The sequence below is a fragment of the Homo sapiens genome, chromosome 15 (genome assembly GCF_000001405.40).
Source record: "Homo sapiens chromosome 15, GRCh38.p14 Primary Assembly".
Taxonomy (NCBI): Eukaryota; Metazoa; Chordata; class Mammalia; order Primates; family Hominidae; genus Homo; species Homo sapiens.
Window position 1 is genome coordinate 49,338,409 of NC_000015.10, and position 26,313 is coordinate 49,364,721.

The window sequence follows — 26,313 nt, forward strand, 5'->3', positions numbered from 1 at the left end:
TTCTGGGTTGAAAATTCTTTTCTTTAAGAATGTTGAATATTGGCTCCCAATCTCTTCTGGTTTGTAGGGTTTCTGCAGAGAGATCCGCTGTTAGTCTGGTGGGCTTCCCTTTGTGGGTAACCCAACCTTTCTCTCTGGCTGCCCTTAACATTTTTTCCTTCATTTCAACCTTGGTGAATCTGACAATTATGTGTCTTGGGGTTGCTCTTTTTGAGGAGTATCTTTGTGGTGTTCTCTGTATTTCCTGAATTTGAATGTTGGCCTGCCTTGCTAGGTTGGGGAAGTTCTCCTGGATAATATCCTGAAGAGTGTTTTCCAACTTGGTTCCATACTCTCCATCACTTTCAGGTACACCAATCAATTGTAGATTTGGTCTTTTCACATAGTCCCATATTTGTTGGAGGCTTTGTTCGTTTCTTTTCATTCTTTTTTTCTCTAATCTTGTCTTCTTGCTTTACTTCATTGAGTTGATTTTCAGTCTCTGATATCCTTTCTACCGCTTGATCAATTCAGCTATTGATACTTGTGTATGCTTCACGAAGTTCTCATGCTGTGTTTTTCAGCTCCGTCAGGTCACTTATGTTCTTCTCTAAACTGGTTATCCTAGTTAGCAATTCATCTAACCTTTTTTCAAGGTTCTTAGCTTGCTTGCATTGGGTCAGAACATAACTCCTTTAGCTCGCAGGAGTTTGTTATTACCCACCTTCTGAAGCCTACTTCTGTCAGTTTGTCAAACTTATTCTCTGTCCAGTTTTGTTCCCTTGCTGGCAAGGAGTTGTGATTCTTTAGCAGAGAAGAGGCATTCTGGTTTTTGGAATTTTCAGTCTTTTTGCGCTGGTTTCTCCCCATCTTCATGGATTTATGTACCTTTGGCCTTTGAAGTTGGTGACCTTTGGATGGGGTCTCTGAGTGGACATCCTTTTTGTTGATGTTGATATTATTCCTTTCTGTTTGTTAGTTTTCCTTCTAACAGTCAGGCCCCTCTGCTGCAGGTCTGCTGTAGGTCCGCCCCAGACCCTGTTTGCCTGGGTATCACTGGCAGAGGCTGCACAACAGTAAAGATTGCTGCCTGTTCCTTCCTCTGGAAGCTTCGTCCCAGAGGGGCACCCGCCAGATGCCAGCCAGAGCTCTCCTGTAGGAGGTGTCTGTTGGCCCCTACTGGGAGGTGCCTCCCAGTCAGGATACCCAGGTGTCAGGGACCCACTTGAGAAGGTAGGCTGTCCCTTATCAGAGCTCTAACGCTGTGCTGGGAGATCCGCTGCTGTCTTTAGAGCTGCCAAGTATGGACGTTTAAGTTTGCTGAAGCTGTGCCTACAACCGCCCCTTGCCCCACGTGCTCTGTCCCAGGTAGGTGGGGGTTTTATCTATAAGTCCCTGATTGGGGCTGGTGCCTTTTTTTCAGAGATGCCCTGCCCGTAGAGGAATGAATCTAGAGAGGCAGCAGCGGCCTTGCTGAGCTGCGGTGGGCTCCACCCAGTTCGAACTTCCTGGAGGCTTTGTTTACACTGTGCGGGTAAAACTGCCTACTCAAGCCTCAGCAATGGTGGACACCCCTCCCCCCACCAAGCTTGAGGGTCCCAGGTTGAGCTCAGACTGCTGTGCTGGCACGAGAATTTCAAGCCAGTGGATCTTAACTTGCTGGGCTCAGTGGGGGTGGGACCCGCTGAGCCAGACCACTTGGCTCCCTGGCTTCTGCCCCCTTTCCAGGGGAGTGAACTGTTCTGTCTCACTGGTGTTCCAGGTGCCACTGGGGTATGAAAGAAAACTCCTGTGGCTAGCTTGGTGTCTACCCAAACAGCCGCCCAGTTTTGTGCTGGAAACCCAGGGCCCTGGTGGTATAGGCTCCAGAGGGGATTCCTGGTCTGCAGGTTGCGAAGACCATGGGAAAAGCGCAGTATCTGGGCTGGAGTACACGGTACAGTCCCTAATGGCTTCCCTTGGGTGGGAGAGGGAGTTCCCCGGCCCCTTGTGCTTCCTGGGTGAGGCAGTGCCCCGCCCCCCCCCTCCCCCCCCCGCTTTGCCTCGCCCTCCTTGGGCTGCACCCACTGTCCAACCAGTCCCAATGAGATGAACCAGGTACCTCAGTTGGAAATGCAGAAGTCACCTGTCTTCTGTGTCAATCTTGCTGGAAGCTGCAGACCAGCGCTTTTCCTATTAGGCCATCTTGCCAGCAAAGTCCTTGCCCACTTTTTAATGGGGCTATTTATTATTTGCTTGTTCAGTTCTTTAAGTTCCTTACAGATTCTGGATATAAGAACTTTGTTGGATGCATAGTTTGTGAATATTTTCTCCCATTCTGTAGATTGTTTATTGACTACGTTGATGTTTTATATTGCTGTGCAGAAGCTCTTTAGTTTAATTAGGTCCCACTTGTCAATTTTTGTTTTTGTTGCATTTGTTTTTGGGGACTTAGTCACAGATTATTTCTCAATGCCAATGTACAGAATGGTGTTTTCTAGGTTTTCTTCTAGGATTCTTATAGTGTAAAGTCTTACATTTAAATATTTAATCCATTTTGAGTTAATTTTTGTATATGATGAAAGGAAAGGGTCCAGTTCCAATCTTTGGCATATGGCTGGCCAGCTATCCCAGTACCATTTATTGAGTAGGAAGTCCTTTCCCCATTGCTTGTTTTTGTTGACTTTTTTGGAGATCACATAGTTATAGGTGTGTGGCTTTATTTCTGAGTTCTCTATTCTGTTTCATCAGTCTATGTGTCTGTTGTTGTACCAGTACCATGCTGTTTGGGTTACTGTAGCCTTGTAGTATAGTTTGAAGTTGGGTAATATGATGCCTTCAGCTTTGTTCTTTTTGCTTAGGATTTTTTTTGGCTATTTGGGCTGTTTTGGTTTTAGAATAGTTTTTTTCTAATTCTGTGAAAAATTACATTGGTAATTGGATAGAAATAGCATTGAATCTGTAAATTGCTTTGGGTAGTATGGCAAGTTTAACAATATTGATTCTTCCAACCCATGAGCATAGGATGTTTTTTCATTTGTTTGTGTCACCTATGATTTCTTTCCACAGAATTTTCTAGTTTTCTTTGTAGAGATCTTGCACCTCCTGGGTTAGATGTACCTGTGATTACAGGTGTGTGCCACCATGCCTAATTTTTGTATTTTTAGTAGAGATGAGGTTTCACCATGTTGCCCAGGCTGGTCTCAAACTCTTGAGCTCAACTGATTTGCTTACTTCAATCTCCCAAAGTACTGGGATTACAGGCTTGAGCCACTGTGTCTGGCTGAGATCTTTCTAACTTTTTGAGGTAAGCATTAGTGCTATAAACTTTTGTCTTAACATGGTTTTTGCTGCATCCCAGAGATTTTGGTATGTTCTGGTTCTGTTTTCATTTCTTTTAAATATTTTTTTCCTTTCTGCCTTAATTTCATTGTTTACAGTCAGGCAGGGGCAATTTGTTTGATTTTCATTCAATTGTGTGGTTTTGGGAAATCTTTTTGGTATTGATACCTATTTTTATTCCAAGAGTATGGTTGATAAGAGTTTGGTTTTTTTGAATTTATCAAAACTGCTTTATGGCCGAGCATGTGGTTAATATTAGAGCATGTTCTGTGTGCAGATGATAGCAATGTATTTTCTGTGGTTGATGGGTGAAGTATTTTGTAGGTATCTCTTATGTCCTATTGGTTAAGTGTCTAAATCAAGTCCTGAGTTTTTTTGTTGGGTTCTGCCTCGATGATCTGCATTATGTTGTCAGTACGGTGTTGAAGTTCCCCGTCCCATTATTGTGTGACTATTTCTTTTTGTATGTGTAAAAGTAGTTGTTTTATGAATCTGGGTGATCCAATGCTGGGTGCATATATATTTAGGATAGTTAAGTTTCCTGGTTGAATTGAACTTTTTATCATTATGTAATACCCTTTGTCTTTTTTTGACTGTTGTTGGTTTAAAGTCTGTTTTATCTGGTATAAGAATAGTGACTCCTGCTCTTTTTTGTTTTCCATTTATGTGATAGAACTTTCTCCAGTCCTTTAATTTGAGCCTAGGGGTGGGTGTTGTTACTTGTAAAAAGGGTCTCTTGAAGACAGCAGATGGACTGATCTTGTTCTTTTATCCAACTTGCAACTCTGTGCCTTTTCAATGGAGCATTTAGACTGTTTACATTCAAGGTTATAATTAATATGTGAGGCTTTGGTGCTATCGTGAAGTTGTTAGCTGGTTGCTTTGTAGTTTCTATTGTGTCATTGGTTTATAGTATCTGTGGCTATATATTCAAGGGTGTTTCTGTGGTAGAAGGTATCCTCCTTTGTCTTCCCTTTTAGAACTCCCTTAAAGATCTCTTATGAGACAGGTCTAGTGGCAATGAATTCCCTTAGTGCTTGCGTGTCTGGAAGATTTTATTTCTCCTTGCTTATGAAGCTTAGTTTGGTGGGATATTAAATTCTTGGTTAGAATTTCTTTTCTTTAAGAATGCTGAAAATAGGCCCCCAATCTCTCCTGGCTTATAAGGTTTTTGCTGAGAAGTCTGCTGTAGCCTGAAGGTGTTCCCTTTATCTGGCCTTTTTCTCTAGCTGCTTTTAAGATTTTTTCTTTAGCACTGACCTTGGAAAGTCTGGTGAGTATATGCCTTGGTGATGTTCATTTTGTATAGTATCTCACAGGTGTTCTCTGAATTTCTTGAATCTGGTTGTCTACCTCTCTAACAAGATAACAAGATTAGGGACACTTTTTGAATTATTCCTTCAAATATGTTTTCTGTGTTGTATACTTTTTCTCCTCTCTCAGGAATGCCAATAATTTATAGGTTTGGTCACTTTACATAATCCCATATTTCTCAAAGATTTTGTTTATTTTTCTTAATTCTTTTTTTAATTTTTTGTCAGACTTGGTTATTTTGAAAGACTGGTCTTCAAGCTCTGAGGTTTTTTCTTCTGCTTGGAACAGTCTATTGATAAAACTTTCAAATGTGTTTTGAAAATTTCAGTTGAGTTTTTGAATTCCAGAAGCTCTGATTGATTTCCTAAGATGTGTATCTCTTACTTCATTTCCTGAATTGATTTAGGAGTTTCTTTGTGTTGACTTTCAACACACTCTAGTGCCTGTGTTTAAGGCTGTTGAGCAAGATGGAAGAGTGACTGTATTTTCACTTACATGAAAATAGCTCTACCCAATACGATTTTATTTGTTGCCTGGCAGAGGCCATCCCAGGAAGTTTCTTCCCAGTTAAGGCCTCATTTTGGGATGAGATTTGTTTCCATTGTGTTCCTGAGGGCAACTCATTTTACTCCAGGAGAGAAATGTAATAGTGATGTAGGTTGTATTCAAACAGTAACTAACTGAATGGCCAATTTATCCACTGGAATTTCCTGCTTTCAACTTATTGTTCTGGCAACCTGTAGTCTGAAAGACAGCATTGTCTTCAGGCATCACATGATATCCATGAGATCTGATCATACTACACAAATTACCCTGCATTCAGGAATCTCCTACATGATATTGCTGGAATAAGTGTCCATATGAACTACAGTTTTGCTGATATGAATTAATTCTGCATGGTATTATTTAAAAATAAAACATCCTTAGGCTGAATCCAGGTTACTTTCAAATTTTGGCTTTGAGATTTCATTCTGCATAGTAATATTTTTTATCATTTAATAAACATTCAACATTAACACATTAGTCCTCAAATCTAAAAGGAAAGTAGTGGAAGCCTCATTTTAAATAATTGAAGCAGCGAAAACTAAACCTTATGAAATCTCATATTGATGAATGTTTCAGCATGACTTAAAAATATGATTGTACAAAGAATATTATAGAAGCATTAATGTAATCAAAAGAAAGAAAATTATCATAATCCCATTCTCCAAAAAATAAAAATTATTTTCATTTTTCTGTGTCTTTTCATCTGTTACATACAAATACATATTTTACAATATTGTTATAATGGTATGGTTGCTTTCTTTACCCAACATACTATCATAATTTATGCATTCAAGTTTTATAATAATTATTTTAATGTTTGCAAAAGGTTACACTGAATGTACATACCTAAGGTGCTCTATTTCTCTGGTAATATAGCATGGTACTAACTTTATTGTGTTTCTTTATGTGAAATCACTAGTTTCTCCTCTCATCCCCAATTGTGTGTTCCAATATGACACTTTCCCCACAAGAGCCTAGCGAGGGAGGACTGTAACTCTTTTATCTGAAATCCCTCTGAATTCGAAGGAAAGATAGCCCTGGTCTTGCTTAGCTTGGACTTGGAGCAATACACATAATTGAAAATAGAGGTGGTGGTCCTGCTCATTACATAAACAAGAAGTCTGCAATCTCAGTTATGCCAGGTTTCCATCTTTAGCTTTTTTCCCCACTTTGGCTGTCACAGACTGTGAAGGAGTCTGGCAGCCTTCAAATAAAAGGTTCAGCAATCTTCCTGAAATGACTGAAACTTGAAGATATCAAGTTACTTTTAATGCCCGTCTTACTCCCTCCTGCTACATCAAGTGACTGAACATCTAAAATCTTTTCTGAGTAAAAGCTGCAGAAAATTGAATATTATTCTTCTTGTAGAATGATTAATACAACCAATGATACACTTTTTCTAAAGTATAAATGGTGTTGAGCTGCTTAAACTTTATTTGCATACAGCTATTACCTGCTACTATTTAATTTCTTCCTCAGAGTGCCTGTTAGAACTTCAAAGATTTTATTCTTCTACAAAGTTATTGTGCTCTCTTGAGTATCATTTCCATGATTATTTGTGAGGGAGGTGATGTATTTGTCACTTTGAACAAATTTTGGATTTTCTTTGACTTGTACATTTATTATATACTATTGGTATTGAAATCAAGAATTATGTTTTATTTCTTATAAATTATTAATTTTGAACATATGACTTTATTGAAATGAACTGGGTAGACATACGTTCCTCATAAAGTCATTCTAATTGTAAAATTTGGTCATGGTTGTACATTTGTGCTGTATAATGAAGTGCTGGGCTGCATGATGTTGGTGTTGACTGAAATCTTAGCATTTTCTTGTACAACTCAGTGGTGATGGTTTTCAGTAGATTTCTGTTGAAGTGTGTTAATGAATATCTTAACTTTTATTCTTTTTAGACACTTATAACTATAAATTTTTTCCGAATTAGATAAAACAGAATACTTAGACCATATACATTATGAACAATGGTTATATTCTACTCCTTGGGGATGAATGTGGCAACATGTTTTTCAATTCCACCATCTGAATTGGCCTCATACTTTATATTCCCATGCACTGCTATATGGTAAGCCACTGAATGGAAGATTCACTTGGGGACAAATAAAATAGTCCTTTTCTGGGACTTCACAACAGTGGTTGGGATGTAACAAACTAAGACCTTCTCAACTCAGGACTCTGGGGTCTTTCATCTCCCTTTATAATCACAGAATATTAGAGAAACAAAGGGTTTTGGAAATTGTAGGATCCAATTTAATTAGATTAGAAATGAAGAAACTGAAGCTTCTAGAAGTGAAGTACCTTGCCTTTGAGAGATTGAGTGTGTGTGAGAGACTCAGGAAAAGAATGGCCCAGGGGCAAATTTCGTACTTATCTGCCAAAAGTATTGTCCTAGAATTGAAACCAAGAGGTTAATTTGATCAGGTCTGCCTGCCCTGCTTGCTTTTGGTCACTTGCTTTTGTTATTTTTTTTTTTTTTCCTTTTTCCATGAAGCTGAAAGCCATGCTGCTGAACACGAAACTTAACCTTTACTGGCTGCTTGATAGATACCATCCATAGTTCACCAAAACAACACTTCCGTTGTTTTTCAGAAACTTGGGCCAGCTCCTGTCCAATTCAAACTGGTTGAGACCACCAGCCCTTGAGCTGGGCCTGCGCAAGTGCGCAACAAATGGCCTTTTGACCATGGAGGGCCAAAAACTCTACCCTCAGGTTGTGCTAACACGATTTTCTATACATATGTCCTACAAAATGCTATGAAGCCTGACTATGCTTGCACAGAATGAACCTGTTACTTCATTTTCCCCATTGCCAATCACCTTTCCCCACACCTAAGGCCACCCCCATTTCCCTAACCCAAAAATATCCCTAAGCCTTATTTTAGGGGAAGTAGATGTGAGAGCTGTTCTCCTGCCTCCTTGCTTGGCAGCTTTGCCAATAAATCTTTTCTCTTTTGCAAAACCTGTGTCACAGTGATTGATTCACTGTGCATGGGCAGAACAGACCTGGACCTCGGTGATAACAGAATGAAGCTTCAGGAGGCTTTGCTGTCTATCTTGTATCCCTTAGAGATAGTCTTTGGATTATCCTCAGAGTTGTTTCTGAGCATCTCAGGCTTAAGGCGAAAGTGCCCATTATACACATAATGCTAATTGTATAACAAGTAAAAGGAAGCTAGGCAGCAAGCTGTGGCCAGAATCTCCTACTTTATACACTAGAATGCACTTAGTTCTTAATCCTAAAAACTACATTCTTGAAATAAGCTTATTAGCATGTGGCCTAAACTGATCTTAGAGCAGTTATATTCTGTTTAATGTTTACCTTTGCCTATAAGTAAAATATTTTAATGTTAGATTTGTAGTTTACCCAACATCCATGTATCAAAAACATTTTTTAAAAGGTTATAAGCACATGTGACTTACTCTATAGGAAATAACATCATTGTTGGAATCTTACCCAGATTCTAAATGGCCTAGAATTATATGTAAAATAGGATTGCAGTTCTAGTAAGTTTCACTATTTAATACATCATTATCAGCAGTTTTGTAGTATACTCAGGAAATTGAGGGAAGGGCTATTGAAAACATTAACACTTATTCAAGTAAAATAATTCAACAAAATTGCCAGGACTTGTATTAGGCATGGAGACACAAAAATAAGTAGAGACATGGTGTTTTGCCCTTAAGAAATTAGTAAGAATAAGAAGTGACAACATTTTTGAAGTAGGAGACAGAAGAACTATAAAATTTAGGAATAAAGACTGTAACAGCTTAGTGATCTATGCTTTTAGTGCAGGGTTGTTTAAAAGTAGATGAAGGTGCTTCTCCTTTCTACTATAGCATTCTATGTATAGGACAGATTATTGATGACCCTATTTCCCTGTCTTTGCTATTAGATTGCTTAGCACCCTCATACTAGTATCAGTGCTGGTATGTAACAGGTATTTGGTAAAACAAACAGTAAATGTTTACTGTTCTTTGCATACTGAACGAGTATTCTTATTGGTATCTAGGTGCAGTTGAGTTATAGATTTCATCCTGAGAAGCTTAGTTATTATCATAAAGTTAATTAGTTTTTGCTACTTTGTTAAAGAAGTCAGAGAAGTATTGATAACCTTCAATGAAAACTTCCATTAAAATGGATAACATTGGCCAGGCATGGTGGCTCACGCCAGTAATCTCAACACTTTGGGAGGCTAAGGTGGGTGGATCACCTGAGGTCAGGAGTTCAAGACCAGCCTGGCCAACATGGTGAAACCCCGTCTCTACTAAAAATATACAAATTAGCTGGGCGTGGTGGCAGATGCCTGTAGTCCCAGCTACTCGGGAGGCTGAGGCAGGAGAATTGTTTGATCTTGGGAGGTGGAGGCTGCAGTGAGCTGAGATTGCACCATTGCACTCCAGCCTGGGTGACAAGAGCAAAACTCTGTCTCAAAAAAAAAAAAAAAAAAAAAAAGGCTAACATAAAAAGTGTTAGTGCTTCAAATGATCAGCTTTAGTTATCTGGAAAATTTAATTATGGGCCACAGATCACTCCCTGATAAGGCTGGATAAACAAGTTGTTGATTTACAGAAATTCCAGCATTTTTATAATTTATGTCCTTTAACAGAGACAGCTCCAAGGGTTGCTTTGAAGGACTTTGGCTATTCCCATTATTTTCAATCACCCCTCTACCCTCCACAAAGCTATTCCAAATAAATATACAAACTTCGGGTTTGCTTTGCAAATACATGTTCAAGACAAGTTCCCTAGCTCTCTGCTTGAAACTTAATTGAATATCTAAGTCCTTCATATAAAGATAGAACTTCTGGAACTCCCACTTTGAAATTTGATATATCACTAAAAAAACAGAAAACAGACACATGTGAGGCAACCACCAAAAGGAGCCAATTTCGTTTTTCCTTCAATAAACAGGACTTTAGCTCTAAACTAGAATATAGGTTTCTACTTTCTGAAATTTTGGAGCACCTCACAGAATCACTCGGAGCCAGAGGCTGGAAGTGATTTTTGTGGGGCAAATGCATGGTAATAGAGTAGGTTTTGTTTACTTTCTCCTTTGTCTGCCCACCTCCTAAGAGAGAAGTAGGTTGGGTGAACACAAAATTATTATCTGATCAATATTTACTTGAGGTATTGCTTTTGAGTCCTAAATTCCAAGCATTCAAAAGGTTTGGCTTTTCCACCTGATTTTATTGACCAACAATATTTATAGCAAGAAGGCTTTTACCCCAGCCTTTGATATTCACTTAAACTATTTGAAAATGAAGTTTTCTTCTCTTATTTGATACAAATGTGGCTTTACCACATTTCTCCTAAATTGAACAAACCAACCTATTACTAACTCTCCAGAATGAGAATTCATATTTCCCCCCTTATTCTTCCGTTGAGTCATGTTTATAATCTAAAGCCCAAATTGTGCTTTAAAAAATGATGTAACTCACTCCCTGGAACCTGATTACCTAAAGCAACTGAAGTCTTTTATTTAATTCACTAGTTAGTGTTAATAACAAGTTGGTGAATTGTAGTCTGTATCTTGTATATTTTATTAAAAGAAAATCCCTAACTAGAACTTAAACTGAGTTTGTAAGAAAAAATAGCCAGATATTACAATTTTTTAATTGTCTCTGGCTCAAGGTGGCTGACAATACTTACAATACTCATACTCATTCATGTGAAACAAAACTCCTTTGTTCATCAAGTTCTTATAAAAATTATTAATTTCATTTTCATTTTAAAACTCATCCTCCCCCTCTTAACTGGCAGAGTTTATAAAAGGAATAAACTAGCAATTTACTCATCAAAGTTTAGAACAGCTTCAAGTGTAAGCCATCAAAAATAAAATAAAATGTCTTTCTCTAAGAGCAAAATTTAAATACTTGATATATCCTTTATTTTACTATGCCTTGCCAATATTTTTATGCTTATTCTCTATTACATAAGTTTTAAATGTATTTTTAAAAATCTGAAATTGGTTCCTTTATGGAATCCCTGGGAGTCAAGTAGGGGAGTTATTAGGTTATTTTAGGTATTTGATATATGGTAGCATCAAAGGGAATTGAGCAGAGATTCACTGATCAGAAATATTCTAACTGTAAAAAGGCAATTGCAGACTTTTATACAGAGGTAGGTTACCAATAGTCATTGACCTCTACTGACTTCTGGGCTTATACAGAGAGTGACTAGCTTTTTTCTATGGGTTGAAGCCATGTGTATGGACCAAAACTCTGCATGATGCTGACAGTATTTTTCTGTAAGCAAAAACGATAAAAAACAAAACAAAACAAAACACAAAATAACCCGAAACTAGAATGAAAGGGGAAAAAAAATCCAACCAAAACAAAATGAGAGGGAGAATTTAAGAATTTAGATGGGAAATTAACTTTGTTGGTAACTTTGTTGGATGGATGAATAAGGTAATATGTAAACTCTTAAGCCCCTAAACTTCTAAAATTAGAAGGCTGCACGTGACAAAGTAAAATACAGTTCTGTATGTGTTGGCTTTCTGATATCCCTAGGTGGTATATCAATTTCTATAAAATAAATTAAACTTTTCTTCTTACTCAAGGCAGTGTTGTTCATAGTACTTTCTGTGACAATGGAAATGTCTGACATTTGCATTGTCCAATAGTCACATATGGTTAATGAGCACTTAAAATGTGGCGAGTGTATCAGATTAACTGAATTTCTACTTATACTTAATTTCATTAATTTAAATGACCACACATGGCTAGTGGCTACCATACTGGACAGTGCAGGTCTAGAATGATGACAAACATCATAAATACCTGTGTGCACATACTTATATTTCTTTAAATTTTGCTCTAAATAATCTATATTGCATTTTGGGTAATGTAAAAGTATCATTGACTGGATCACATACTAATTCTCGATCTGTTAAACACTGTTAAGTTTTTACTGGGAGATGCTACCAAGGTTATAAGAATAGTGGGGGAAAGCAAATAGTTTAAACTGTCTTTTATGGGCTAGTTCCACAAAACTGAGCTTAAAAGTAAGAACAAATGGTTCATCTCTTAAAACAACAGATTCAGAACCCCTATGAGGGTACTGTGATTTGCCTTTTCCCGTAATCTAATTTTTGACCTTGGTGGGTCTTCCTGCACCATTTGCCTTTTATAATCCCTAACACACAGGAAGCTTCTCTCTTATTTGCTCCAAGGTGAATATGACTTTTCCTTTCCTAACAGTGCTCTCTAAGATATGCGAGCCAAAGACAAAGTGAGCTGGGCCAATGGTAGGGATAAATGGGAGTGAATAAGTACAAAGGAGAGACTGCTGATAGGCTCATCCTAATCCACTGCATGGAACAGCTTTCCCCGTGTGCATCACATTCCCCCTTAAAAGCACGTTGTTAAGGCCACCATGTACCACTGAGCACATATATGCTACACAGTTCTTAGAGGGACCACACTGGCCAGTGCATAACCTACTCAACCATACGCTGTGGTTTGAGCTCTACAATCAATGAATTTTTCTCATTCTTTCCTATATAAACTATCCATTGTGTAGATCATTTAGTTTTGTTAGCCTTGTTTGCACTTATTTGAATTCAGGTAGTAGAGAAATAAGAACTGCATAGGCACAGTGTGTGATTATACACTGTGCTTCTATACAAATAAAATATTTTCAGTTTCAAATGTCTTCCACACAATGCAAAAATGACTACTAGCTATGGAATTGTTAGTTTAATTCAGTACTTAGCCACTCCTTTTAGATCATGTTAAAGTCTTTCCTGGAAGATACGGAAAGAAGATACGGCCAATTCCGCCCAAACTCTGGAGCATGCAACTCCAAGTCATGACAGCAAATGAGATCTTACCATAGGACAATGTTGATTTTTTTCTAAAACATGTAATTCCCATATAGTTTTTAAAAATCTGCTTCCATCTAATCGACTATTGGAGATCTACAAGAAAAGTAGTGAGCAATCAATGGATTGTTTTCTCTGTAATGGTGAGAACTGAAACTAACACATACACCGTCCCAAGTTGGGTTTTCCGGAAAGCGGACCTAAAGACAAAGATCAGCGTGTAGGAGGCTTATTTGAGTGCTCTTGGAATCAATACCTGTGGTTTCAAGGGAATAAAGTAACATTGGACAGACAGAAAAGTTGAACCCTGATAACAGTCCCAATGGATGTCTCAGCTGACCCTATAAGGGAGGTCTGAAGCTCAGATGACCCTTCAGAATTGTTCTGAATTGGGGCTAAGGAGCCAGATCTTTGTACATCACCTTAGTCAGTGGATGTGGGCTAGCTTGGGAAGGGAATATGGTTTAGTTGTCTATTGCTATATAACAAACAACCTCAAAAACTTAGGGGCATAAAGCAACTCTAATTTATATTATTACCTCTGTAGTTCTAGGTGTTGACTGAGCTCAGCTAGGCTGTTCTAAGATGGAGTCTATCATGTAGTTGAGGTCAGTTGTTGACTGGGACTGGAGCCATCTCAAAGATTTCCTCATTTATGTGTCTGGGGCTGATACTTGCTGTGGCTCATCCTCAGCTGTGACTGCTAACTGGAACACAGACTCTCCATATGGTCTGAACTTGTTACTCATATAGCAGCTAGTTCCAAGAGCAAGCATCCCAAAAGCAAGAGTGAAACAGGCAGAAGCTGTAAAGCCATTTAGTACCTTGTCTCGAAGTCACAAAGTCAAACTCTAATGGTTGAGGAATTACAAAAGACTGTTCAAACTCAAGGGCAGTGAACATTGATGCTATCTCTTGATGGAAGAATTGGTGAGGTCACATTGTAACAGGAGCATGTGGGAAGGGCAATATTGTTATGGCCTCTTGAAAAATATAATCTGCCATAGGACTTATGTTAAGTAAGTCCACTATCAGCAGCTGAGGAAATCCTTGTAGGGTATTGGTAGCCAAGGGCCTTCTGCCTTCAGTATCATCCCACCCCAGCAGCTGAAGGATGTCTTTTATTTTTCTTTATCTAGGCTTCAGAGCGCCTACCATATGTATTTTCCTATTCTGTGTTATGCATAATTTTTTTGTCCCTATGTTTAACAATATTGAGAGTAAGCAAAAATAACTTAGTTACTTGCTCCAGAACATCCTTTTCCCTAAAGATAAGACAGTGAACAAATTAAAATAGCTTGGTCATCACAGCGCACTTCAAGACCCTTGGTCCACTGGTCCCTCCAATCCAAAATTATAATATCAAAACCTCTACCCAATCCCAAGCAGTTCCCTATCTTGCAAAGCCTGCCTCAAAAATCACCTACCTCAGTCCTTAAAACCCCATAATATCCTCCTGGAATTTCTTGGTTTTGAGACATTCCTAAAGCTCTGTTACACTGGTGTTCTGTCTTACTGCAGTGTATTAAACTTAGCTTTGCTTGGTCAACAGGTTATTCTGGTAGTCTTTTAGGGGACTATGCACAGACAATGGCAAAAACAGTGTCTAAGCATTCTTTCTCTTAGTGTAGCTTCAGAAGAACTTGGTTCTATGGTGAGTTGATGAAATGAGAACGTCATCATTTCAGGGAAAAATGGAAATAGTTGCCAATTCAGCCACTGATAGTGTGGAAAGTCAAATTCCTCCAACAAAATCATAGGGACTTGAAATTTATTTAGTCCAATTCATCTGCTTAATATGAATGGAGAAGAGGCTCAAATTTGGGCTCAAATTAGAGTAAAATTTTTTCCTATACTGCTGAAGAGTCCTCTTCAGTGCAATCAAGGGTTTTATGTTTCCTCTCTGATCCTCATCTTCCTCTTCCCTTCGCCTGTTTGGGATCACACTGTGTCTCTGTTTTTCCTCTTTTCAGACAATTAGAGGAAATATCAATTCTCCATCATATTTTGGCAGAGGAAGTCTTTTATCTCTACGTTGCCACAGGATTTTTAGGCCTGTATGTTTTGAACAAAAATATACTTTTAAGATAGCTCACATTTCATCAAGTTAACGTGTGCTTTCCATTATCTGAAAAATCTCATTAACAGATAATTTTATGACATTGACACCCAATTTTTGAAGTTGAAGGAAAATAAGGGTTTTTTTTTTTTTTTGTAAAATCTCATAAATAATAGAACAAACTTTCTTGCAGTATAGGCTTTCCTATTCACTTCGCCCAGAGTATTTTAGAAGGACTGAGGGAAAAAAGATATTTTACCTTGTATATATTGGAAAAATAACTAGATGGGAGGGTTCTGGATTAGTTGTTTTTTTCAGATATTTGTATTTCAGCTAATTTATCCTTTTAAAAATGTGATTGCATTACTAGGTTCTTACCATATGTTAATTAAGTAGTCAATGACTTGAAATGAAAAATACAATTGATAGTTACTTTAGTAATAACTTACAAGTTGTTATTCACATATTGGTTAATGGGAAAAATGTGTGTTCATGTGATGAAGATTATTGGAAATCATTATATAAATAATGGTAAAAAGAATACAGAGCTGGTGACACTTCTGGAGTCTCAGAGTTCTTTTTTTCACTGTTGACAATTTTCTTCTCCCACATCACAGATAATTCACAACAGATTATTTCTTTATATAGCTTTTATTTTTATGCTAGGATAAATGCTGATATATCCCACATTATTTTCAATTGTTGAGTTTAAACAAGTCATTCCTGAACACTATTTACATGTTTAAAAAGTCTGTGTATGGGGAGGAGCCAAGATGGCCGAATAGGAACAGCTCCGGTCTACAGCTCCCAGCGTGAGCGACGCAGAAGACGGGTGATTTCTGCATTTCCATCTGAGGTACCGGGTTCATCTCACTAGGGAGTGCCAGACAGTGGGCGCAGGTCAGTGGGTGCGCGCACCGTGCGTGAGCCGAAGCAGGGCGAGGCATTGCCTCACTTGGGAAGCGCAAGGGGTCAGGGAGTTCCCTTTCCGAGTCAAAGAAAGGGGTGACGGACGGCACCTGGAAAATCGTGTCACTCCCACCTGAATACTGCACTTTTCCGACCGGCTTAAAAAACGGCGCACCACGAGATTATATCCCGCACCTGGCTGGAAGGGTCCTACGCCCACGGAGTCTCGCTGATTGCTAGCACAGCAGTCTGAGATCAAACTGCAAGGTGGGCTGGGGGAGGGGCGCCCGCCATTGCCCAGGCTTGATTAGGTAAACAAAACAGTCGGGAAGCTCGAACTGGGTGGAGCCCACCACAGCTCAAGGAGGCCTGCCTGCCTCTGTAGGCTCCACCTCTGGGGGCAGGGCACAGACAAACAAAAAGACAGCAGTAACCTCTGCAGACTTAAATGTCCCTGTCTGACAGCTTTGAAGAGAGCAGTGGTTCTCCCAGCATGCAGCTGGAGATCTGAGAACGGGCAGACTGCCTCCTCAAGTGGGTCCCTGACCCCTGACCCTCGAGCAGCCTAACTGGGAGGCACCCCCCAGCAGGGGCACACTGACACCTCACACGGCAGGGTACTCCAACAGACCTGCAGCTGAGGGTCCTCTCTGTTAGAAGGAAAACTAACAAACAGAAAGGACATCCACACCAAAAACCCATCTGTACATCACCATCATCAAAGACCAAAAGTAGATAAAACCACAAAGATGGGGAAAAAACAGAACAGAAAAACTGGAAACTCTAAAAAGCAGAGCGCCTCTCCTCCTCCAAAGGAACGCAGTTCCTCACCAGCAAAGGAACAAAGCTGGATGGAGAATGACTTTGAAGAGCTCAGAGAAGAAGGCTTCAGACTATCAAATTACTCTGAGCTACGGGAGGACATTCAAACCAAAGGCAAAGAAGTTGAAAACTTTGAAAAAAATTTAGCAGTATGTATAACTAGAATAACCAATACAGAGAACTGCCTAAAGGAGCTAATGGAGCTGAAAACCAAGGCTCGAGAACTACGTGAAGAATGCAGAAGCCTCAGGAGCCGATGCGATCAACTGGAAGAAAGGGTATCAGCGATGGAAGATGAAATGAATGAAATGAAGCAAGAAGGGAAGTTTAGAGAAAAAAGAATAAAAAGAAATGAGCAAAGCCTCCAAGAAATATGGGGCTATGTGAAAAGACCAAATCTACGTCTGACTGGTGTACCTGAAAGTGATGGGGAGAATGGAACCAAGTTGGAAAACACTCTGCAGGATATTATCCAGGAGAACTTCCCCAATCTAGCAAGGCAGGCCAACGTTCAGATTCAGGAAATACAGAGAACACCACAAAGATACTCCTCGAGAAGAGCAACTCCAAGACACATAATTGTCAGATTCACCAAAGTTGAAATGAAGGAAAAAATGTTAAGGGCAGCTAGAGAGAAAGGTCGGGTCACCCTCAAAGGGAAGCCCATCAGACTAACAGTGGATCTCTCGGCAGAAACCCTACAAGCCAGAAGAGAGTGGGGGCCAATATTCAACATTCTTAAAGAAAAGAATTTTCAACCCAGAATTTCATATCCAGCCAAACTAAGCTTCATAAGTGAAGGAGAAATAAAATACTTTACAGACAAGCAAATGCTGAGAGATTTTCTCACCAACAGGCCTGCCTTACAAGAGCTCCTGAAGGAAGCACTAAACATGGAAAGGAACAACCGGTACCAGCCGCTGTAAAATCATGCCAAAATGTAAAGACCATCGAGACTAGGAAGAAACTGCATCAACTAACGAGCAAAATAACCAGCTAACATCATAATGACAGGATCAAATTCACACATAACAATTTAAATGTAAATGGACTAAATGCTCCAATTAAAAGACACAGACTGGCAAATTGGATAAAGAGTCAAGACCCATCAGTGTGCTGTATTCAGGAAACCCATCTCATGTGCAGAGACACACATAGGCTCAAAATAAAAGGATGGAGGAAGATCTACCAAGCCAATGGAAAACAAAAAAAGGCAGGGGTTGCAATCCCAGTCTCTGATACAACAGACTTTAAACCAACAAAGATCAAAAGAGACAAAGAAGGCCATTACATAATGGTAAAGGGATCAATTCAACAAGAAGAGCTAACTATCCTAAATATATATGCACCCAATACAGGAGCACCAAGATTCATAAAGCAAGTCCTGAGTGACCTACAAAGAGACTTAGACTCCCACACATTAATAATGGGAGACTTTAACACCCCACTGTCAACATTAGACAGATCAACGAGACAGAAAGTCAACAAGGATACCCAGGAATTGAACTCAGCTCTGCACCAAGCGGACCTAATAGACATCTACAGAACTCTCCACCCCAAATCAACAGAATATACATTTTTTTCAGCACCACACCACACCTATTCCAAAATTGACCACATACTTGGAAGTAAAGCTCTCCTCAGCAAATGTAAAAGAACAGAAATTATAACAAACTATCTCTCAGACCACAGTGCAATCAAACTAGAACTCAGGATTAAGAATCTCACTCAAAACCGCTCCACTACATGGAAACTGAACAACCTGCTCCTGAATGACTACTGGGTACATAACGAAATGAAGGCAGAAATAAAGATGCTCTTTGAAACCAACGAGAACAAAGACACAACATACCAGAATCTCTGGGATGCATTCAAAGCAGTGTGTAGAGGGAAATTTATAGCACTAAATGCCCACAAGAGAAGGCAGGAAAGATCCAAAATTGACACCCTAACATCACAATTAAAAGAACTAGAAAAGCAAGAGCAAACACATTCAAAAGCTAGCAGAAGGCAAGAAATAACTAAAATCAGAGCAGAACTGAAGGAAATAGAGACACAAAAAACCCTTCAAAAAATTAGTGAATCCAGGAGCTGGTTTTTTGAAAGGATCAACAAAATTGATAGACCGCTAGCAAGACTAATAAAGAAAAAAAGAGAGAAGAATCAAATAGACGCAATAAAAAATGATAAAGGGGATATCACCACCGATCCCACAGAAATACAAACTACCATCAGAGAATACTACAAACACCTCTATGCAAATAAACTAGAAAATCTAGAAGAAATAATGGATAAATTCCTCGACACATACACTCTCCCAAGACTAAACCAGGAAGAAGTTGAATCTCTGAACAGACCAATAACAGGAGCTGAAATTGTGGCAATAATCAATAGCTTACCAACCAAAAAGAGTCCAGGACCAGATGGATTCACAGCCGAATTCTACCAGAGGTACAAGGAGGAACTGGTACCATTCCTTCTGAAACTATTCCAATCAATAGAAAAAGAGGGAATCCTCCCTAACTCATTTATGAGGCCAGCATCATTCTGATACCAAAGCCAAGCAGAGACACAACAAAAAAAGAGAATTTTAGACCAATATCCTTGATGAACATTGATGCAAAAATCCTCAATAAAATACTGGCAAAACAAATCCAGCAGCCCATCAAAAAGCTTATCCACCATGATCAAGTGGGCTTCATCCCTGGGATGCAAGGCTGGTTCAATATACACAAATCAATAAATGTAATCCAGCATATAAACAGAGCCAAAGACAAAAACCACATGATTATCTCAATAGATGCAGAAAAAGCCTTTGACAAAATTCAACAACCCTTCATGCTAAAAGCTATCAATAAATTAGGTATTGATGGGACGTATTTCAAAATAATAAGAGCTATCTATGACAAACCCACAGCCAATATCATACTGAATGGGCAAAAACTGGAAGCATTCCCTTTGAAAAGTGGCACAAGACAGGGATGCCCTCCTCACCACTCCTATTCAACATAGTGTTGGAAGTTCTGGCCAGGGCAATTAGGCAGGAGAAGGAAATAAAGGGTATTCAATTAGGAAAAGAGGAAGTCAAATTGTCCCTGTTTGCAGACGACATGATTGTGTATGTAGAAAACCCCATTGTCTCAGCCCAAAATCTCCTTAAGCTGATAAGCAACTTCAGCAAAGTCTCAGGATACAAAATCAATGTACAAAAATCACAAGCATTCTTATACACCAACAACAGACAAACAGAGAGCCAAATCATGAGTGAACTCCCATTCACAATTGCTTCAAAGAGAATAAAATACCTAGGAATCCAACTTACAAGGGATATGAAGGACCTCTTCAAGGAGAACTACAAACCACTGCTCAAGGAAATAAAAGAGGATACAAACAAATGGAAGAACATTCCATGCTCATGGGTAGGAAGAATCAATATCGTGAAAATGGCCATACAGCCCAAGGTAATTTACAGATTCAATGCCATCCCCATCAAGCTACCAATGACTTTCTTCACAGAATTGGAAAAAACTACTTTAAAGTTCATATGGAACCAAAAAAGAGCCTGCATCGCCAAGTCAAACTTAAGCCAGAAGAACAAAGCTGGAGACATCACACTACCTGACTTCAAACTATACTACAAGGCTACAGTAACCAAAACAGCATGGTACTGGTACCAAAACAGAGATATAGATCAATGGAACAGAACAGAGCCCTCAGAAATAACGCCGCATATCTACAACTATCTGATCTTTGACAAACCTGAGAAAAACAAGCAATGGGGAAAGGATTCCCTATTTAATAAATGGTGCTGGGAAAACTGGCTAGCCATATGTATAAAGCTGAAACTCGATCCCTTCCTTACACCTTATACAAAAATCAATTCAAGATAGATTAAAGACTTAAACGTTAGACCTAAAACCATAAAAACCCTAGAAGAAAACCTAGGCATTACCATTCAGGACATAGGCATGGGCAAGGACTTCATGTCTAAAACACCAAAAGCAACGGCAACAAAAGACAAAATTGACAAATGGGATCTAATTAAACTAAAGAGCTTCTGCACAGCAAAAGAAACTACCATCAGAGTGAACAGGCAACCTACAGAATGGGAGAAAATTTTCGCAACCTACTCATCTGACAAAGGGCTAATATCCAGAATCTACAATAAACTCAAACAAATTTACAAGAAAAAAACAAACAACCCCATCAAATAGTGGGCGAAGGACATGAACAGACACTTCTCAAAAGAAGACATTTATGCAGCCAAAAAACACATGAAAAAATGCTCATCATCACTGGCCGTCAGAGAAATGCAAATCAAAACCACAATGAGATACCATCTCACACCAGTTAGAATGGCAATCATTAAAAAGTCAGGAAACAACAGGTGCTGGAGAGGATGTGGAGAAATAGGAACACTTTTACACTGTTGGTGGGACTGTAAACTAGTTCAACCCTTGTGGAAGTCAGTGTGGCGATTCCTCAGGGATCTAGAACTGGAAGTACCATTTGACCCAGCCATCCCATTACTGGGTATATACCCAAAGGACTATAAATCATGCTGCTATAAAGACACATGCACATGTATGTTTATTGCGTCATTATTCACAATAGCAAAGACTTGGAACCAACCCAAATGTCCAAAAATGATAGACTGGATTAAGAAAATGTGGCACATATACACCATGGAATACTACGCAGCCATAAAAAATTATGAGTTCATGTCCTTTGTATGGACATGGATGAAATTGGAAATCATCATTCTCAGTAAACTATCGCAAGAACAAAAAACCAAACACCGCATATTCTCACTCATAGGTGGGAATTCAACAATGAGATCACATGGACACAGGAAGGGGAATATCACACTCTGGGGACTGTTGTGGGGTGGGGGGAGGGGGGAGGGATAGCATCAGGAGATATACCTAATGCTGGATGACAAGTTAGTGGGTGCAGCGCACCAGCATGGCACATGTATACATATGTAACTAACCTGCACAATGTGCACATGTACCCTAAAACTTATAGTATAAGGAAAAAAAAAAAAAGTCTGTGTATGCATGTGTGATAGTGGGAGCATGTGTTTATAGTAACATTGTACTCATTATGACACTGCATTGAGTTCAGATTTTTCTAAACTGCAACAAAATGTGAATGTTTAAAACTCATGTTAGCAATACAGATATGGCTTATACACTTTTCTTTTTAACGAGACCCATACAGACTACACCAACATTTTGGCTCTGAGTTTTCAATTTTTTAAATAATTTGCATTTTGCATGTTAAAAAAATTATTAAATTTTTGGGTATTCTTTGGTTAGCTTAGTCTCAACACATAAAGGGCTTGAGGTGGCTTATAAAAACATAGACAAAGTATGAAGGGAGAATTAGCAGCTCTAAATACATTTTATCCAAGATTCTGCAGTTTAAAGATATACCATGCATTCAGCTCTAAATCCTAGACATCAAAGTTTTTCTCCTGTTTTACTCATAATTCAAATATCAAGTGACCAAGTTTTTAATAAAACTCCAAAGATCATCCAAAAATTATATTTAAATGTTCTGCTAATGAATTAGTGTACATTAACTAGTAAACAAGTTTATCATCCTTATAAATAAATATACATTTAAAATCATGTCAGAAGACATAAGCACTCCTGTGATGTGAAATTTCATTGACTCCCTCCAGTCCTCTCCATACATACCTCCAGTCTACTCAGTGTTTACATGTGAATCCTTACACATAGACAATAATGTCATCCTCCCTCTTGTGATTTAGGCAAATCACTCCTTATCAATAGAAATATTACCTGTGGGGTTGCGGAATAGGGAGGTTTTGGTTAAAGAGGACAAAGTTTCAGTTAGGAGGGATAAATGATAAGTATTTAAGGTGATGAATATGTTAGCTTGATTCAGTCATTCCACAATGTATACATATATCATAACATCACTTTTTACCCCATAAATATATACAATTATAATTTGTCAATTAAAAAATTAATTTAAAAAACTTAAAAAATATTACCTATGATGCAAATTTTTTTTTAACTTTTATTTTAGGTTCAGGGGTACATGTGGAGGTTTGTTACATAGGTAAATTGATGTTACAGGGATTTGTTGTACTGATTATTTCACCACTCAGGTAATAAGCATAATACCCAGTAGGCAGTTTTTTGATCCTCACCCTCCTCCTTCCCTCCTCCCTCAAGTAGGTCCTGGTGTCTGTTATTCCCTTCTTTGTGTCCACATGTACTCAATGTTTAGCTCCTACTTATTAGTGAGAACATGTGGTTTTAGTTTTCTGTCCCTGCATTAGTTCACTTAGGTTAATGGCCTCCAGCTCCATTCATATTGCTGCAAAGGACATGATCTTGTTAGTTTTTATGGCTGCACAGTATTCCCTGGTGTATATGTACCACGTTTTCTTTACCTAGTCCTGTTGATGGGCATCTAGGTTGAATTCCTTATCTTTACTATTGTGAATAGTGTTGCAATGAGCATACGCGTGAATGTATCTTTCTGGTAGAAAGATTTATATTCCTTTGGGTATATACTCAGTAATAGTATTGCTGAGTTGAATGGTAATTCTGCTTTCAGTTCTTTGAGAAATTGCCAAACTGCTTTCCACAACGGTTGAACTAATTTACATTCCCACCAGCAGTGTATAAGCATTCCTTTTCTCTGCAACCTCTCCAGAATCTGTTATTTTTTGACTTTTCCATAGTAGCCATTCTAACTGGTCTGAGATGGTATCTCATCGTGGCTTTGATTTGCATTTCTCTTATGATTAGTGATGTTGAGCATTTTTTCATATGCTTGTGGGTTACGTGTATGTCTTCTTTTGAAATGTGTTCATTCATGTCTTTTGCCCACTTCTTAATGGGTTTGTTTGCTGTGTGCTTGTTGATTTAAGTTCCTTATTAACATAGTTTGGCTCTGTGTCCCCACCCAAATCTCATGTTGAATTGTAATCCCCATGTGTTGGGGGAGGGTCCTGGTGGGAGGTGATTGGATCATGGGAGTGGATTTCCCTCCTGCTGTTTTCATGATAGTGAAAGTTCTCATGAGATACGCTGGCTTAAAAGTGTATGGCACTTCCCCCTTCACTCTCCTACCACCACGTGAAGAAGGTTCTTGCTTCCCCTTCACATTCTGCTGTGATTGTAAGTTTCCTGAGGCTCCCCAGTCATGCTTCCTGTTAAACCTGCAGAACTGTGAGTCAGTTAAATCTCTTTTCTTCATAAATTATCCAGGTTCAGGTAGTTCTTTATAGCAGCATGAAAACCGACTAATACACTTATAGATTCTGGACATTGGATCTTTGTCACATGCATAGTTTGCAAATATTTCTACCCATTCTGTAGGCTGTCTGTTTACTCTGTTGATAGGTCTTTTGCTGCGCAGAAGGTCTTTAGTTTAATTAGGTTTCATCTGTCAATTTTTGTTTTTCTTGCAATTGCTTTTGGCATCTTTATCATGAAATCTTTGCCATTTCCTACGTTCAGAATGGTATGTCCTAGGTTATCTTCCAGAGTTTTTTTAATAGGTTTAGGTCTTACACTTAAGTCTTTCATCCATCTTAAGTTGATTTTTGTATGTCGTGTATGGAAGGGGTCCAGTTTCAATCTTCTGCATATAGCTAGCCAGTTTCCCAGCACCATTTATTGAATAGGGAGTCCTTTCCCTATTACTTGTTTTGTCAACTTTGTCAAAGGTTAGATGGTAGTAGGTGTGCAGCATTATTTCTGAGCTGTCTCTTCTGTTCCATACGTCTTTGTGTCTGCTTTCATATCAGTGCCATGCTGTTTTGGTTACTGTAGCCTTGTAGTGGAATCTGAATTTGGGTAACATGATTCCTCCAGCTTTGTCCTTTTTGCTTAAGATTGTCTTGGCTGTTCAAGCTCTTTTTTGGTTCAACATAAATTTTAATATAGTTTTTCCTAATTATGTGAAGAATGTCATTGGTAGTTTGATAGGAATAGCATTGAATCTGTAAATTGCTTTGGGCAGTATGGCCATTTAAATGGTATTGATTCTTTATATCCACAATCATTGAATGTTCTTCCACTTGTTTGTGTCATCTCTGATTTCTTTGAGCAATGTTTTGTAATTCTTGTTGTAGAGATCTTTTGCTTACATGGTTAGCTGTATTCCTAGGTATTTTATTCTTTTTGTGGCTATTGGCATTGGGATTGCAGACTTGATTTGATTCTCAGCTTGGATGTTGTTGGTATATGGGAATGCTATTGATTTTTGTACATTGATTTTGTATCCTGAAACTTTGCTGAAGTTGTTTATCAGCTTAAGGAGCTTTTGGGCAGAGACGATTGGTTTTGCTACATATAGGATCATATTGTCTATAAACAAGGATAGTTTAACTTCCTCTGTTCTTATTTGAATGCCTTTTACTTCTTTCTCTTGTCTGATTGCTCTGGCCAGGACTTCCAATACTATGTTGAATAGGAGTGTTGAGAGTGGGTATCCTTGTCTTGTTCTGGTTTCCAAGGTGAATACTTCCAGCTTTTGATGATGTTTGCTGTGGGTTTGTCATAGATGGCTCTTATTATTTTGAAGTATGTTCCTTCAATGTCTAGTTTGTTGAGGGTTTTTTATCATGAAGGGATGTTGAATTGTATCAAAAGCCTATTCTGCATGTATTGAGATAATCTTATGGGTCTGTTTTTAGTTCTGTTTAATGTGATGAATCACATTTATTGATTTGCACATGTTGCATGAACCTTGTGTCCAAGAGGTAAAGCCTACTTTGTCATGGTGGATTTGCTTTTTGACATGCTGCTGGATTCCGTTCGCTAGTATTTTGTTGAGAATTTTTGCATCTATGTTCATCAAGAATATTGGCCAGATGTTTTCTTTTTTTATTGTGTCTATGCCAGGTTTTGATATTAGGATGATGCTGGCCTCAGAATGAGTTAGGAAAGAGTCCCTCCTCCTCAATGTTTTGGAATAGTTTCAGTAGGAATGGTACCAGCTCTTCTTTATATATCTGGTGGAATTCAGCTGTGAATCCATCTAGTCCTGGGCTTTTTCTGGTTGGTAGGCTTTTTATTTCTGATACAATTTCAGAACTTGTTATTGGTCTGTTCAGGGATTCAGTTTATTCCTAGTTCAATCTTAGTAGGTTGTATGTTCCAGGAATTTATCCATTTCTTGTAGGTTTTCTAGCTTGTGTGCATAGAGATGTTCATAGTAGTCTTGGAGGTTGTTTTGTATTTCTGTGGGGTTGGTGGCAATGTCTTGTCATTTCTGATTGTGTTTATTTCTATATATTATGTTTCTCTACAGCTGAAAAAATGTTCTTAATATAATACACATGCAGTCTGAAGTAATTTCAGTTCTCAAGTTTATGAAAGGATTGGGTTTTAAAAAAACATACTACAAAAATATGCACTTACATTTATTCCAAAATTTTATATTTCTAACCTCTGCAGTGATAAAAGGTCCAAATTTTCACCGTTGAACTGCCTTCTTGCATGGTCTTAAACAGTTATTTCTATA

General features: G+C 38.5%; 2 protein-coding genes across 26 annotated transcripts in view, besides 1 other annotated feature; one reads left to right on the forward strand and one right to left on the reverse strand.

The window, feature by feature from the left end:
* The window catches only part of GALK2 (galactokinase 2), a 211,967-nt gene that overhangs the window by 182,635 nt on the left and 3,019 nt on the right, over window positions 1–26,313 (forward strand). The window lies entirely within an intron of this gene.
* FAM227B (family with sequence similarity 227 member B) overlaps window positions 1–26,313 on the reverse strand; it is a 293,849-nt gene that overhangs the window by 11,439 nt on the left and 256,097 nt on the right. The window contains exon 14 of one of the 20 annotated variants that reach the window (XM_011521321.3): window positions 26,047–26,308. The exons of the other annotated variants lie outside the window; for them this stretch is intronic. Coding sequence (XP_011519623.1) covers window positions 26,295–26,308 — 14 coding nt within the window. The 3' untranslated portion in view covers window positions 26,047–26,294. Of the gene's footprint in view, window positions 1–26,046; window positions 26,309–26,313 lie in introns of those variants that run through there. 20 annotated transcript variants of the gene reach the window in all.
* Window positions 16,097–16,742: an enhancer, noted in NCBI's record as "NANOG-H3K27ac-H3K4me1 hESC enhancer chr15:49646702-49647347 (GRCh37/hg19 assembly coordinates)". NCBI's record gives its function as "activates a minimal SCP1, AML or CMV promoter by ChIP-STARR-seq in naive H9 embryonic stem cells {active_cell/tissue: H9 hESC(naive)}" and the evidence as "EXISTENCE:reporter gene assay evidence [ECO:0000049][PMID:30033119]".